Source organism: Homo sapiens, chromosome 7 (assembly GCF_000001405.40).
Source record: "Homo sapiens chromosome 7, GRCh38.p14 Primary Assembly".
Taxonomy (NCBI): Eukaryota; Metazoa; Chordata; class Mammalia; order Primates; family Hominidae; genus Homo; species Homo sapiens.
This window is the reverse complement of record NC_000007.14, coordinates 1,689,105-1,703,521: the sequence shown is the minus strand read 5'-3', so window position 1 is coordinate 1,703,521 and position 14,417 is coordinate 1,689,105. Positions and strand designations below refer to the sequence as shown.

Below are 14,417 nucleotides of genomic sequence, written 5' to 3'. Positions count from 1 at the left end.
TAAATATGAAATATTAAGCCATAAAAAAGCTGGAAGAAAACAGAATTCAATACTTATCAGTTCTCAGGAGGGAAACAGGCTTTCCAAGCTCAGAAGGAAGAGAATAAATTTTAAAAGAAAAAGGAGGCAGATTTGACCAAATAAAAATAAGAAAAAGGAACACAAAAAGTAACCCAAATTAAAAGCTGTATAGCAGAGAGGGAAAGATATTTGTGGCGAATGTGACAGATAAATGATAACTATCTTCATTATGTAAAGAACTCGTTCAAATTGATTAGGGAGACATCAACAGCATATAAACAAATTTGTAAAGGAACAAACACAAAACAGAAAATACAGGTGGTTACGAAACGTATGGCCCAATGCTCAACCTCCCGTATAATCAGGGAAATGCAAATTTTTAGAAAATACAGTGAGACACCATGGGCCCATCAAAGTAGACATGATCTAAAAAAACAAAAACACCAAACTAAAAATAAATCCCAGTGCATTGCAGTGCTGGCACGGTTGTGGTGAAATTGGCACAATTCTTTTGGAAAGTCATTTGGCAATACAGATCTAAACTCTTAACATGTGCATAACTTACAGCATATCACACCACGGTGCAGCTAAAACTTTTTGCAATCAAGAGCAACACAAGGATACTTGCTGCCACCACTCTGATTCAGCATGGTGCTAGTAGCTGCAGCCATTGCAATAAGGCAAGAAAAAGAAACAAAAATTATAAGATTCAGAAAGAAAGAAACGAAGCTCTCGCTATTCACAGACAATGTGATTATGTACATAAAAAGTCCAACAGAATGTATATGTTACCAAAATTAATAAAATATTAGCATAAAATTCATATACAAATATATATTGAATTTCTATATGTCTGTAATGAATAGAAAATGAATATTTATGAAACATCAACAGTCTTCAAATTAATTTATACATTCAAGGCAATCTCAATCAAAATCACAATCCATTTTTTTTCTTTTTGTGGAACTTGACAAACTAATTCTAAAATGTATATGGAAGAAAAAAAGGCCAAGAATGTCACTAAATAAAAAGAACAAGGTGGAGTGAGGGAGGGTCTTCTTCTTTTTTTTTTTCCCCCCCGACGGAGTCTCGTTCTGTCGCCCAGGATGGAGTGCAGTGGTGTAATCTCGGCTCACTGCAACCACCGCCTCCCAGTTCACACCATTCTCCTGCCTCAGCCTCCCAAGTAGCTGGGACTACAGGCACCCGCCATCACGCTGGCTAATTTTTTTGTATTTTTAGTAGAGACGGAGTTTCACCGTGTTAGCCAGGATGGTCTCAATCTCCTGACCTTGTCATTTGCCCACCTTGGCCTCCCAAAGTGCTGGGATTACAAGCGTGAGCCACTGCACCCGGCCGAGGATGGCTCTTCTTCCATCAGATAATGACAGTTGACTATAAAGCTATGGTGACTCAGATATTATTATAAGATTAGACACACAAGCCCATGGAACAAACAGAAAAATCCAGAAACTGACCCAAGAGGCAGCCCTTAATAGAGAGAGGAGGCATAACTTTTCAATAAATTGAATATATATGGGAAAAAATGAAACTGAATACCTGCTTCCCATCACGTATAAAGTCAACTCCAGGCTGATTACAGAGCTAAATGCAAAAAGAAGAACTATACATTTTGAAAGATAAAGTAGATAAAAAGATAAAATATGTATATATAATACAAATATATATTTGTGGATTGAGATAGGGTCTCACTCTGTTTCACAGGCTGGAATGCAGTGGCATAATCACAGCTCACTGCAGCCTCAAACTTCTCAGCCTCAGGTGATCCTCCCACCCCAGCCTCCCAAGTAGCTAGAACTACAAGCATGCACATCTGTGCTCCATTAATTTTTTTTAGAGAAGGGGTCTTGCCATGTTGCCTAGGCTGGTCTTGAACTCCTGGGCTCAAGCAGTCCTCCCACCTCAGCCTCCCAAAGTGCTGGGATTACAAGCATGAGCCACTGCACCCAGCCAGAAAAATATATTGATGACTGAGAGACAGGGAAGAATTTCTTCCCACTCATGCAAGAATATATTGATAAATATTACTACATAAAAATAAAGAATTTCTGCTCGTAAAAATATACTATGAAAAGCTAGCCTGGGCAACAAAAGAAGACACCGTGTCTACAAAATTTGTGTAAAAAATTAGCCAGGCATGATGGAGTGTGCCTGTAGTCCCAGCTACTCTGGAGGCTGAGGTGGGAGGATCATTTGAGCCAGGGAGGTCAAGGGTGCAGTGAGCCGTGATCCCACCACTGCACTCCAGCCTGGCCAACAGATCAAGACTCTGTCTCTAAAATATGCACACACACGCACACATACACACATGCATACACACACATGCGTGCACCACACACACACATGCACACACAGGCTCACATACGCACACATATGCGCACACACACGCGCACACACACACGCACACATACACACGCATACATACATCATGCAAAGTATTAAAACACAAGCTACACGACAGCTACCTTCTGAGAGAATGTGATCTCATTCAGAATCTATAAACACCTCTTATGAATTAATAAGGAAAACTGACACCTCAGTCATAAAATGAGCAGAGATCTTGAAAAGGCATTTCACAAATGAGGGCATCCACACGGCCAAAAACCCCGTGCTCAACTGTATTACTCGCCAGCGAAATTCAAATGAAAGCTTGGTAAGATACCAGGACACACCCGCCAGACCGGCGAGGCTTCAAGCATCTCATCAGATCTGGCGCTGGGGAAGGAGGATGTGGAGCAACGGGAACTCTCGTCCGCTGTCCTGAGGGTGCAAAGCCTCACCACCGCTTTGGGAAAGAGCCGGCGACTGTTCTCTGGGGTGTAAACCTCAGGGAGGGTCCCACACGTGTGAAGCAGGAGATATGCAAGGGAGCTCACCACAGCCCCAAAATGGAACCGACCTTGATCCCCTCTTAGGACAGCACACGCTTCAGTGATGAGAATGAACCAGCACCAAGCACAATGAATGGGTATGTCTCCCCCGGAGAGTGTTGACCAGAAGAACGAGGTCAGAAGGGAAGAAGTATGCAAAGATTTCATTTATGGGAAGTTCAGAAACAGGCGAATCCAGAATCAATTGTCCAGGAATGCTGGTTGCTACGATCAGGAATGACAGAGCTCTGGGACTGGGAAAGAAAGCGCCAGAAGCCTCTGAGGGCCGCCAGCATTCTACGTCTTCACCCTGACTGTGGTCACGCAGATGCATTCACACAAAGTTCACACGGTGGTTATTCTTTCCCTGGCTCAGATGGGACTTTCGCACCCTGCTGTATAGACGGCTTGTTCCAGCTCACAGTCTACACCTCCACAGGGCTGTGAGGGGATGTCGGGCCTTTCACCCAGCAGCCCCACTTCTGAGAACCTACCAGAAGGAGAGAATCCCAGAGAGAAAACCATGTACAGCCAAAGATTTCCATTGCTGCTTGATAGAGAAGGAAAAAAATGGAAACCACCAAAGTTTTCAATAAGAAGACAATGATGAGGCCGGGCACGGGGGCTCACGCCTGTAATCCCAGCACTTTGGGAGGCTGAGGCGGGCGGGTCACCTGAGCTCAGGAGTTCGAGACCAGCCTGGCCAACATGGTGCCCATCTCTACTGAAAATACAAAAATTAGCAGGGCACGGTGGCACACGCCTGTAATCCCAGCTACCCGGGAGGCTGAGGCAGGAGAATCGCTTGAACCTGGGAGGCGGAGGTTGCAGTGAGCAGAGATCATGCCATTGCACTCCAGCCTGGTCAACAGAGTGAGACTCCATCTCCAAAAAAAAAGTAGGAGAATGACTAAATCAATTAAAGCACACCCTTATTATTCTTGACTGTGGCAATTTATTTATTTATTTATGATGGAGTCTTGCTTTGTGGACCAGGCTGGAGTGCAGTGATGCATCATGGTTCACTGCAACCTGGACCCCTTAGGGCTCAGGTGATCCTCCCACCTCAGCCTCCTGAGTAGCTGCGCCCACAGGTATGTGTCACTGTACCCAGCTAATTAAAAAATAATAATTTTTAGAGACAGGGTCTCACTATGTTGCCCAGACTTGTTTCAAACTCCCGGGCTCAAGTGATCTGCCCACCTCGGCCTCCCAAAGTGCTGGGATTACAGGTGTGAGCCACTGCACCTGGCTGCAACTTGGAAACTGCTGGAGGTCAGTGAATGATCAGACTCAACAAGTCCATTCTCAAGATGGACAGAGATATCAACATGTCTCTACAAAACACATGTGCGGGGAAGTGCATCACTGCTCACAGTACCCACGATAGCCCAGACTAGAAACAACCTGAAAGGCCATCAGCAGAGAAGGGATACATCAACTGAGGTACAGCCTTACATGGGAATACTATACGGCAATGAAGAGGAAGGAACCGCCATCACATCTAACAAGGATGAATGAATTTCGCAGGTGCAATGTGCAGAAGCACCCAGACAGAATGTGTATATAATGGATGCTTCCACTTATACAACATGAAAACACAGGCAAAATTCAGCTATGCCGGAAGGAGCCAGGGTAGTGTTTACCCTGAGGTGGGGGAGAGGTGACCTGGAGAGACCATCAGGAGACTTCTGGGGCTGGTGACACGGGGGGCTGGTTTTGTTCTGTTTCTTCACTGGGGTGCTTGTGAAAATTCATTAAGCTGTGCACAGTGAGGATTTGTGAACTTTTCTGTATGTAACTTACATCTCAAATGTTTAAGTTTCTTTTAAGAGTGATATCAACCCTGAAACAAATGCCGATCCTCAAAAGAAGAAAAAAGACCAGAAGGAGAAGCTCTAAAATGCTGACAAGCTTCTCTTGCATGGTGGAGCCACAGTTTACATCTCCTGTTTTCAGCATTTTCCTAGTTTTCTTTAGTGTATACACATGTATATTGCTTTTGAAATTAAAGAGAGAAATAATATGCTATTACATATATTCAAATGCCAGGCCCCCAGAAAAGGATTCGTGTTTAATTAGGACTTTGTGATTCAGGATGGCACAATGTTTTATATGTTGTAAAAAAAAATTTCATTGCGGCTGCCAACGGTGGCCAGGCCCCCTCGCCCCATCTTCTCTCTGCTGTGGCCCAACCATTCCTCACCCGACAGGAAGCTGACGTGCTAATTTGCTTAGCAAAGTCAGAGGGAGCACCGAGGGTGCAACGCAGGAAAAGAAAATTGCCACAAAAGGGAGGCAGGAATATTCCGAAGGCATTAACCTGATGAATTGTATATGAGAGCTGTAAATTTGATAAGTGCTTATTAGAAGTAGAAAATGAGGCTTGAAATTTGCTTGTTTGCCTGAAATGAAGGCTGAGGTTCCCTTGGAATCTAATCGGCTAAAAATTTGGCTAGATGTTCAAATGTAGGCATCCTATGAAAAAAAGGATACCTAGAGAGATGAAGAAGGCCAGGAGAGATGGTAACTGTTGTGTCAGGCACATTTGGAAATATTTATTAGAAAGAGAAAAGAAAGTCTGATGTCTTCTCCAAGCCTGCTGCCTTAGTCAGCGCCCGCCCGCCGGCCGGCTCTGCGGGAAGCCCAGGCCTGGCCCCAGCCCCACTGCCCTGTCTGTCTCTCCTTTCTTCCCACACCTGGAGGCTGAGGCGGGAGGATCACTTGAAGTCAGGAGTTCAAGGCTGCCGTGAGCCATGATTGCACCACTGCACTCCAGCCTGGGCGAAAGAGAGAGACCCTGTCTCTCAAATAAATTACGATTAAACAATTTTTAAAAATCTGTTCAGGTGACACATGCCTTGATGTGTTCACGGGCAGGCAGCCCTGATCAGGGTGAAAAACAGAGATAAAGTCCCGGAAGGAGGAGGGGTGGGGGCAGGAAGTGGACACCGCCCTAGAGAAGGGTCTCAGATCACACAGCAGTTGTTGCAAATTTGGCAAATACCGATTTTCCCAATTGTACCCCTGGGTGCGTGGACGAGAAGACAGGCTAAGACAAGGCCAGTGGGAAGCTGGGAACCCAGACCCTAAACACGTGCTATACACCGGGCTGGCCTCGGCTGTGCCGGGACCTGGCAGGCAGGGTCAACCCAGCGGTGCTCAGTCCTACCCACAGAGCAGGGAGTGCAGGCCCCAGGGTGCTCCCAGCACCGGCTCCTCCCTGCACAGGCCCCTCCAGCAGCCCAGATATCCCCGTGGAGGAGGGGGCAGGGGCGCGACTGTTCCTCTCTGAGTCCCACACTCTGCGGCAGCCGAGCAGGGGTCTCAGGCCCTGTGCGTGTCCATGGATGGGAATATGGGCGTGAGACCCTCCCCTTTCCCCTCTAGACCTGGCCTCTCTCCTGCCTGGAGGGGTGGGGGGCTCCTCTCTGCCCTGCCTGGGGAGGCACAAGTTGCCATCCTCATCTCCAGCACTACCTCTAGGCTATCTCACCCCTGCCGCGAAGCCCAGATCAAACAGGGTAGCAGCTTCTCCAAGGTCACAAAGCCAGTGAGGGGCGCTGGGCCTTGGACCCCAGCCTGGGCGAGTCACCTCCTCTGAGAAGCCTCCCAGCCTGCCCCACTGAAAGGGGACGAGCAGTCCCTGCTAGTGCATTGCTCGTGGTCATTTCCTGTGGCCCTCGTTGTTTTCCTAATGCCTTCCTTTGCTCGAGTCATCCCACCGGACCCTCAGCTCCTTAAGGGCAGTGCCGTGGGCTGAAGTGTGCCCAGCATCCCTGGGATGAAGCCCTGGCCCCCGGCTGATGAGAGGAGGCAGCGGGTTCTCTGGGAGGTGATCGGAGTTAGCCGAGGTCATGAGGGTGGGGCCCACGATGGGATTAGAGCCTTTACAAGGAAGGATGCCAGGCTGGGCACCGTGGCTCACACGAGTAATCTCAACACTTTGGGAGGCTGAGGCAGGAGGACTGATTGAGCCAGGAGTTCAAGACTAGCCTGGGCAACATAGCGAAACTCCATCTCCACAGAAAAAAGTTTTAAACAATAGTTAGTGCATGGGTGTGGTGGCACGCACCTGTGGTCCCAGCTACTATGGAACCTGAGGTGGGAGGATGGCTTGAGCCCAGGAGGTGGAGGCTGCAGTGATCTGTGATTGTGTCACTGCACTCCAGCCCGGGTGACAGAGGGAGACCATCTCTGGAAAAAAAAAAAAAAAAGAAAGAAAGAAAGACACCAGGGCATCTGCATGCCCTCTCTCTCCCTGTCTCTCTTTCCCTCTCTCTCTCCATCTCTCCCTCCCTCTTTCTCTCTCCCTCTCTCTCTCTCTCTCTCCATCTCTTTCTCTCCCTCTCACCCTCTTTCTCTCTCTCTCCCTCTGTCTCTTTCTTTCTCCCTCTCTCTCTCACATACACACGCACACACACACACACACACTCTCTCTCTCTCTCTGTCTTGGGAGGACACGGTGAGAAGGTAGCCATCTGCAAACCAGGACACTGGCCCTCCTAGAACCAACCCCGCTGGCACCCGATCCCAGACTTCCAGTCTCAGGGCGGGGAGACAATGTGTGCTGCTGTCTAGACTCCAGTGTCCCGCTTTTGTTATGAGAGCCGGGGCCGACAAAGGCAGGCAGGAGTCAGGTCTGCCCTGCTCACTGCTGTGCCCCCACATCTAAACCAGCCTGGGGCTCGGCATACAGTAGGTATTTAATAAATGCACACTCCAGGAGGAAACAGACTTTGTCTGGTAACCCTAGGGCCTGGCGGGCCCAACAAGATTTGCTGAGTAAATGTTTGTGAATAAATGAATGGGAGTCAGTGAAACCAAACCAGCACGGTTTTTTTTTTTTTTTTTTTTTTTTTGACACGGAGTCTCGCTCTGTCACCCAGGCTGCAGTGCAGTGGCGCGATCTCGGCTCACTGCAACCTCCACCTCCTGGGTTCAAACAATTCTCCCTGCCTCAGCCTCCCAAGTAACTGGGATTACAGGTGTCCACCACAACGCCCGGCTAATTTTTGTATTTTTTAGTAGAGACGGGGTTTCTCCATGTTGGCCAGGCTTGTCTTGAACTCCTGGCCTCAGGTGATCTGCCCGCCTCAGCCTCCCAAAGTGCTGGAATTACAGGTGTGAGTGGCCGCGCACGGCTGCACAGTTTTCAAAGTGGGGTTCATGGGCTTGGCGGGCTGAGTCTGCTCCTGCCTCCCAGCGAGACTCGCCCAGGCTTGTGCCAATGGTCCTGCTCCTGCCCTTTAGGGAGTGCCCTCGACGCGGACACCTGAGCCCTGAGCTGCAGCCCTGGAGGAGGAGGACGCAGCTGGTGCTGGGAAGGGCTGGGAGGCCGGCCACGCACCTGGCACGCTACTACTTCCTGGGGTTCTCAGGCAGGAGCAGGGTCCTGGTGGCCTTCCTGGTGGATGGACAGAACCCTCACAGCCCCAGCGGGCTGCGCATGAGCTCTGGAGCCACAGAGCAGGTCCCACCATGTGCCTGTCGGCCACGTCTGCTGCCTGGCACAGCCACGTGCATCCGGAGCCGTCTGCAGCGTAACTCAAAGTGAGGGGGATGGGCACATGTGCACGACGCCCGACGCCCCTCTGCAGCACTCAACAGGGAGGGCAGGGAGCTGGAATTTGTCCCAGCTGGGCACAGGCTGCTGTTGGCAGCCAGGGTCAGGGAGACTCTCAGAGTCCCCCACTTCTGTGGAACAGACAGTTTCTTTGGTTCTGGAATTAAACTATTAATAGCAGTGGAGATCAAGAAACTCAAGTGCAGGGCAGCTGACAGGTGGTCTCGAATGCACCCTGGAGGGTGTGCAGCCAGCAGCCCTCAGAGTCAGTCTAAGTTTGGCAAAGGACCGCTGTGCGGGCCAGGCATGGTGACAGTGACGTCTTGGTGTCAGGGCCTCCTGTCTCATACCCTCGCTCCTGCAAGGGCCTCTGCACCTGGGCAGGTGGGCGTCTGGGTGCTGGGGGAGCTGACTCCTTCAAGGAGATGGTTTCCTGTCTCAGGGAGGTGGGGGGTACCCCTGGGATCTGCTTCTAGGGGCATAAGCTCCGGCCTATTGAGTGACTGATGGACCAGAGCTCTATCTTTCTAGAAGGCCTGGGAGAAGCCAGGAATCCCCTCCCGGAGCCTCACCCCACTCCTCCCTCCAGCCATCCTCCTCCAGCTCTTTGTGACATCACTGCCGTTGCCATGGGAACCCTGCCAACTGAGCGGATGACTTCACAGGAGGATGGGAGGCGCTGGGCTGGGCCGGCCTGGGTCTCGCAGCAAAGGTCTTTGATAACCAGCAAAACGGCAAAGGGAGGCAGGAAAACCACCCGCAGGGAGGCCAGTGTGGGTTTAAGGTGATGGCATTCCCCAGCCCTGCCCGGCACCGGCCTCCCAAGCCTGGGACCTGGGGGCTCCCTGCCTCCTTCCAGATGGAGGTGGGCATGGTGGAGTGTGAGGGGCCTGGGTCTGCCGGGGCTGGCTGGGGAACCCTGGCTGGAGCTGCTTCAAGCCTCGGTTTCTCTTTCTAGGAAGTGAGACCAGGACCACAGACTGGGCGCTCCCTGCTGAGTCTGTGGCCCTGAAGGCTGTTCAGCTCTAAGCGTCGGTGCACGGACAGGCCAGACAGGGCTGTATTGCTCCAATCGCCCTGCAAGAATCACAGCCAGACGGGGGCTTCCCGAGTGCTGCCCACCTTGCCGGCACGCAGGAGGAGGTGGCATGGACTGGGGAGGAGGAAGCACTCTCACTCCTGCTGGAGCCTCTGCCCAGGAACCCCGATTGGCCCAGCCGTCCCTGGGGAGGCCCATCCCACGTGTCCCGCACCCCGTGTCTGTCAGCACTGATCAGGGTCTCCCAGACACCTGCTCTGGGGTTGCCATGGGGACGAGCGGGAGGGTGAGTGTGGCGCACACAGCTGTCTGTAGACACACAGAGGGCATGCACGCATGTGTCTGTGCTCACCTGCATGTGTTCACACGGACTGGGCACCGCCGGAGGTGTTCACACAGCGGTGTACACCGACCCCTCTGCAGATGTGCACACACCCAGCAAGGCTACGTCCACAGGCGTGTATGTGTTCTTGCACCAGGAAGTGGGTCACGCCCCACACCACACATCGTATACTCTGTCCCTGCGGCACGCACCTGTCTGGGTGCACCAGGCAGTCTAAGCCCATGTCACCTATGTGTACACATATGTGCACATACCTACTCAGGCACACCAGTGTGTGTACACGGCTGTCCAGGCACACTGGGCAGTCCAAGCCCACGCCTGCCCAGACTCTTGGAATCGGGCACTTTCTGAGGCTGCCCCGATGGGCGTTCCTTTCCCCAGCCAGTACATCCTCTCTTCCTAACCCCACGTCTGCTGGACTCTTAAGGTGTCCACGCGGCCATGAACATCTCCAGGGCCTGCACTGCCCACTACCAGGACCCCAGCGGAACCCAGCATCTGGTCACTAGGGGTCTGCATGGGCAGTCACTTCCTGGGGGCCTGCACCCCTTAAGGAGGGTGAAGGACGGGCCAGCCCAGCTGGGGCTGAATCCTCACAGCCTTGTTCACAGGGAGAGGCTGACCTGCGCCCATTTTACAGACAACAAAACTGAGGCTGAGAGAGTAACAGCCCGGCCAGCACATGGCAGAGCGTGGCGCAGGCCCAGGCCTGCCTTGTGAGGTCCCTGCCGTTCCCTGCAGGGTACATAGAGGCGGAAGCTGATGTGGCCCCCACTGGGCGTTCTTTCACTTTCTCTCCTTTGATTCCACAGTCCTCAGACCTAGGAATTAAAGAAACGTCCGTAGTTTCCGATGAAGGAAATATTAATAGAAGCTCAGAGACGTAAGGTAACTGACCCTAGGTCACACAGCAGAGTCAGGGAGCTGGTGAGGTTGAGGGGAGGGAGCCCCAGGAGGGCCTCAAAAATCTCCCTTCCCACTCCACCCAGCCAGGGGCAGGTGCAGCCGGCAGGTGGGCCGCTGGCCCTGGGTATGCCCTGTTTATGCCTCTGCATCTAGCGTACATGACGAAGGCAATTTTCCATGTTTCAAGTGCCACGGTGTTGCCTGCCTCTGCTGATCAGCCCCGATCTTTCTTGGCTGTCTCTTCCCTAGCTCCATGCAGATGCACCCCCAATTCAAGATCCCTAAGCTCCCAGCCCCACTCCTCTCTACTCTGCCTGTTGCAAGGCCCTCCCGGCCCAGGCTTGGGAGAGAGGTGTGCCCTACACTGCCGTGAGCCCTGAGTGGACCCAGACGGCCAGAGGGAGCAGCCCTCAGCCCAGACTCCACAGCGCAGCCCAGCCCGTCCCTGCAGCCACGATCGGTACTCACAGAACCCTCTGGCAATCCGGCCTTGGCAGGGCAGGCCAGACAGATCTGTGCAGTTTATAACCAGCTTCTGCTTCTAAAAATAGGAGTGCTACTTGGCACACAGACCACAGTGAAAGTGGAGAAACTGAGGCCCAGCAGCAAAAAGTGTCTCGTCGAAGGTCACGAAGGCAGGAAATAGCAGATGCCAGGAGGGTCATGGCACTCAGAGATGAAAGGAGTCCCTCATGCCCGGCACTCCCCCGCCCACCAGCCATCGTGGCCATCCTGGGCACGTGAGCACCACTGCGCCAGCCCAGCCTGGAGCCTGGTACTGCTGGCCTTGGCAGGCAGACATTGCTGGTCAGGAATGCAGAATCGGCCTTTAAATACCTCAGCAATTTCATGCCCTGGCATCTCCTTCTTCCCCACACCGCCCGAGGCGCCGCTGAGGCTTAATGAGCTGTGAAGGTCCATTTTTCAAAGTTAAACATTTCCTGGGCTCCCTGGCCCAGCCTTTAGACACAGCCTGGCAATGTCCCAGGTGTGGGGTTCAGACAGCTGCACAGGGAGGCCATGGTTCACATGGATCTCCACGACGCCCTCGGCTCTCACCGGCCACTGATGCCAACAGAGACCTACCCGGTGGCCAGCTTGTGGGATGCAGAGCTGGCAGTGGGTCAGGCCTGGGCTGTGGGAGCAGTGGGTCGGGCCTGGATCCCTGAAGCTGGGAATTCCAGCCTAACACAGCCTTCAGAGGTGTCGATTCTAACCCCCTGCCCATTTTACAGATGAGGAAGCTGAGGGAGGGCCATAAGTCCCCTAACATCAGGGACCACAGCGCTTACCCAACCGAATATCTCAGGGTCCAGCCCAGGGCCTAACGTTTAGTGCCAAAAACAGCTGGTGCTCAATCAATGCTTGTTGCCAGGAGTAAGCACCCAAGGCTGCAGAGCAGAAGGTGGCAGCCTTGGGTGGAGACTGCAGAGCCCTGACTCCCAGACTCCCTGCATCAACCTCCGAGGGTGCAAACAGACCTCCTGTCTGCTGGGATCAGTGTCGGCATCCCGGAGGCCCCTGGCTCCTGGTTTAGACCCTGCTGTCTGCAGATGTGAAGCAGTGGAGAGGGAAGCCTGGATCTGGACTTAGGCACGGTCAAGTTTGGGTCCCAACTCTGTCGCTCTCTGACTCCCTGGGCTTGGACAAGCCACTTCTGGGGGCCTCATTATCTCCATTTGCCATTTGGTGACATTAGCCTCTTTACCTGGGGGACTTCTACACTCCCATTTCTTCCAAGCTCCTGTCCATACTGACATTGTATTTTTCCAGTCCCTGTAGGTCTCTGTATGTATCATCCACTCATTCATTATCTACTTCCATCATCATTAATCTACATCCTCCCTCATTCAGGCATCCATTCATCCATTCATCATCCATATATCCTTCTAGCATCCACCCACTTACCCACCAATTCATCCATCCATCCACCTCTCCACCCACTCATCCTTCATCCATCCATTCACCCATTCATCCACCCATCCATCCATCCACCCACCCACCTATCCATTCATCAATTCACACACCCGCCCATCCATCCATCCATTCATCATCCATATATCCTTCTAGCATCCACCCATCCACCCATCCACCCACCTCTCCACCCACCCATTCATCCATTCATCCTTCATCCATCCATTTATCCATTCATCCATCCATCCACCCACCTATCCATTCATCCATTCACACTCACCCATCCATCCATCATCCATATATCTGTCTAGCATCCACCCACCAATCCATCCATTTATCCATCCACTTATCTACCCACCCACTCAACCATCTACCTATCCATCCATCCATTCATCCTTCATCCATCCATTCACCCATTCATCCATCCATTCATCCACCCATCCAGCCACTCACCTATCCATTCATCCATTCACCCACCCACCCATCCATCCATCCATCATCCATATATCCTTCTAGCATCCACCCACCCACCAATCCACCCATCCACCCATCCACCTATCCACCTACCCACTCACCCACCTACCCATCCACCCACTCATCTTTCTTCCATCCATTCACCCATCAACTATCCATCCATTCACTTATTCATCCATTCATCCATTTACCCACCCATCCATCCACTCACCTATCCATCCATCCATCCACTTGCTCATCCATCCACCCGCCCATCCATCAACCCATGCATCCATCCACCCATCCATCAGTCCATCCATGTATACATTCATCCACCCCTCCATCTGATGATGCATATGTCAAGAAGGGAATGTGCCAGTTGTGTGCTAGGGCTAGAGTCCCAATCCCCAATTCCTAACCTAATGCCCTCTCCAGATGCCAGGTGTCCAGAGGGCTCAAGGGGTTCCCATTCTGTGACTGCATTGGCTCAGATCCCTGACTGCTTGGGGAAGAGCTCCTGTTACCACTCTAGGTCTCATGGAGACAACCAAAAGCTAAAGAACCAGAGGACTCCCCATTGGCTCTGCTTCAGGAAGGTGTGAATCTGGGCAAGACACTCATCTCAGTGTAGCACTCGCCACCTGTAATGGGCACGTGATTGCAGAGGCTTCAAACTGGGCCATGCCAGGGAAGTTGGCTGGCTCAAGGCGCTGTAAATGGATAATGTTGTTAGGAGATTCAACATGATTAAAAATAAGGAGACAGGATATGCTTTTCCCTTGTCACCAATTCCACAGCATCTCAAGGGTCTGTAGTGCACCAGGCCCAGCCCCCAGCAAAGGTGGAACCAGGCCTGCCCAGCTGAGCCCTCTGCAGATCCCAGGGGAACAGGGTCAGTCTGCAATCCCAGAAATGTATTCATGGTTCCTTAGCAACCAGTGGCTTGGGGACTGAGCCGGGAATCTGTGTTCCTCCCAGCGTCTCACCTCATCTTTTGTTCCCCTCACTTATCCATCTGAGCTCTGAGCCCTCAGACACATTAGATGACTGGAATGGTGACTACAAGCCTGTGCAATGCTGAAATTATATTTCCACAGTCACAGAAGCACACACATGCGTGAGCATGCACACATATATACACACTACATACAGTATGCTGAGTAGAGAGGCCCAGGTTAAGAAATAATGTCACTACTCAATTACAGAAAAGAACAAACTATAAGCATCACAACTTGAATGAATCACCAGGGAATCTTGTGGGGGAAAACAAATGTAATCCCAAAA

The 14,417-nt window shown here is 51.8% G+C and overlaps 1 protein-coding gene and 1 long non-coding RNA gene across 9 annotated transcripts in view; one reads left to right on the top strand and one right to left on the bottom strand.

The window, feature by feature from the left end:
• Positions 1-14,417, bottom strand: part of ELFN1 (extracellular leucine rich repeat and fibronectin type III domain containing 1) — an 81,883-nt gene that overhangs the window by 44,425 nt on the left and 23,041 nt on the right. The gene's annotated exons all lie outside the window — the stretch shown is intronic.
• LNCRI (lncRNA radiation induced regulator of PLK1 and RAD51) lies at positions 9,172-11,616 on the top strand. 2 transcript variants are annotated; one of them, XR_007060188.1, is made up of 4 exons: positions 9,172-9,262; positions 9,437-10,748; positions 11,016-11,226; positions 11,318-11,616. It is a non-coding gene; the product is annotated as a lncRNA radiation induced regulator of PLK1 and RAD51 (long non-coding RNA). The 2 variants fall into 2 exon arrangements; XR_007060189.1 differs by lacking the exon at positions 11,016-11,226 and having other exon boundaries at positions 11,318-11,403.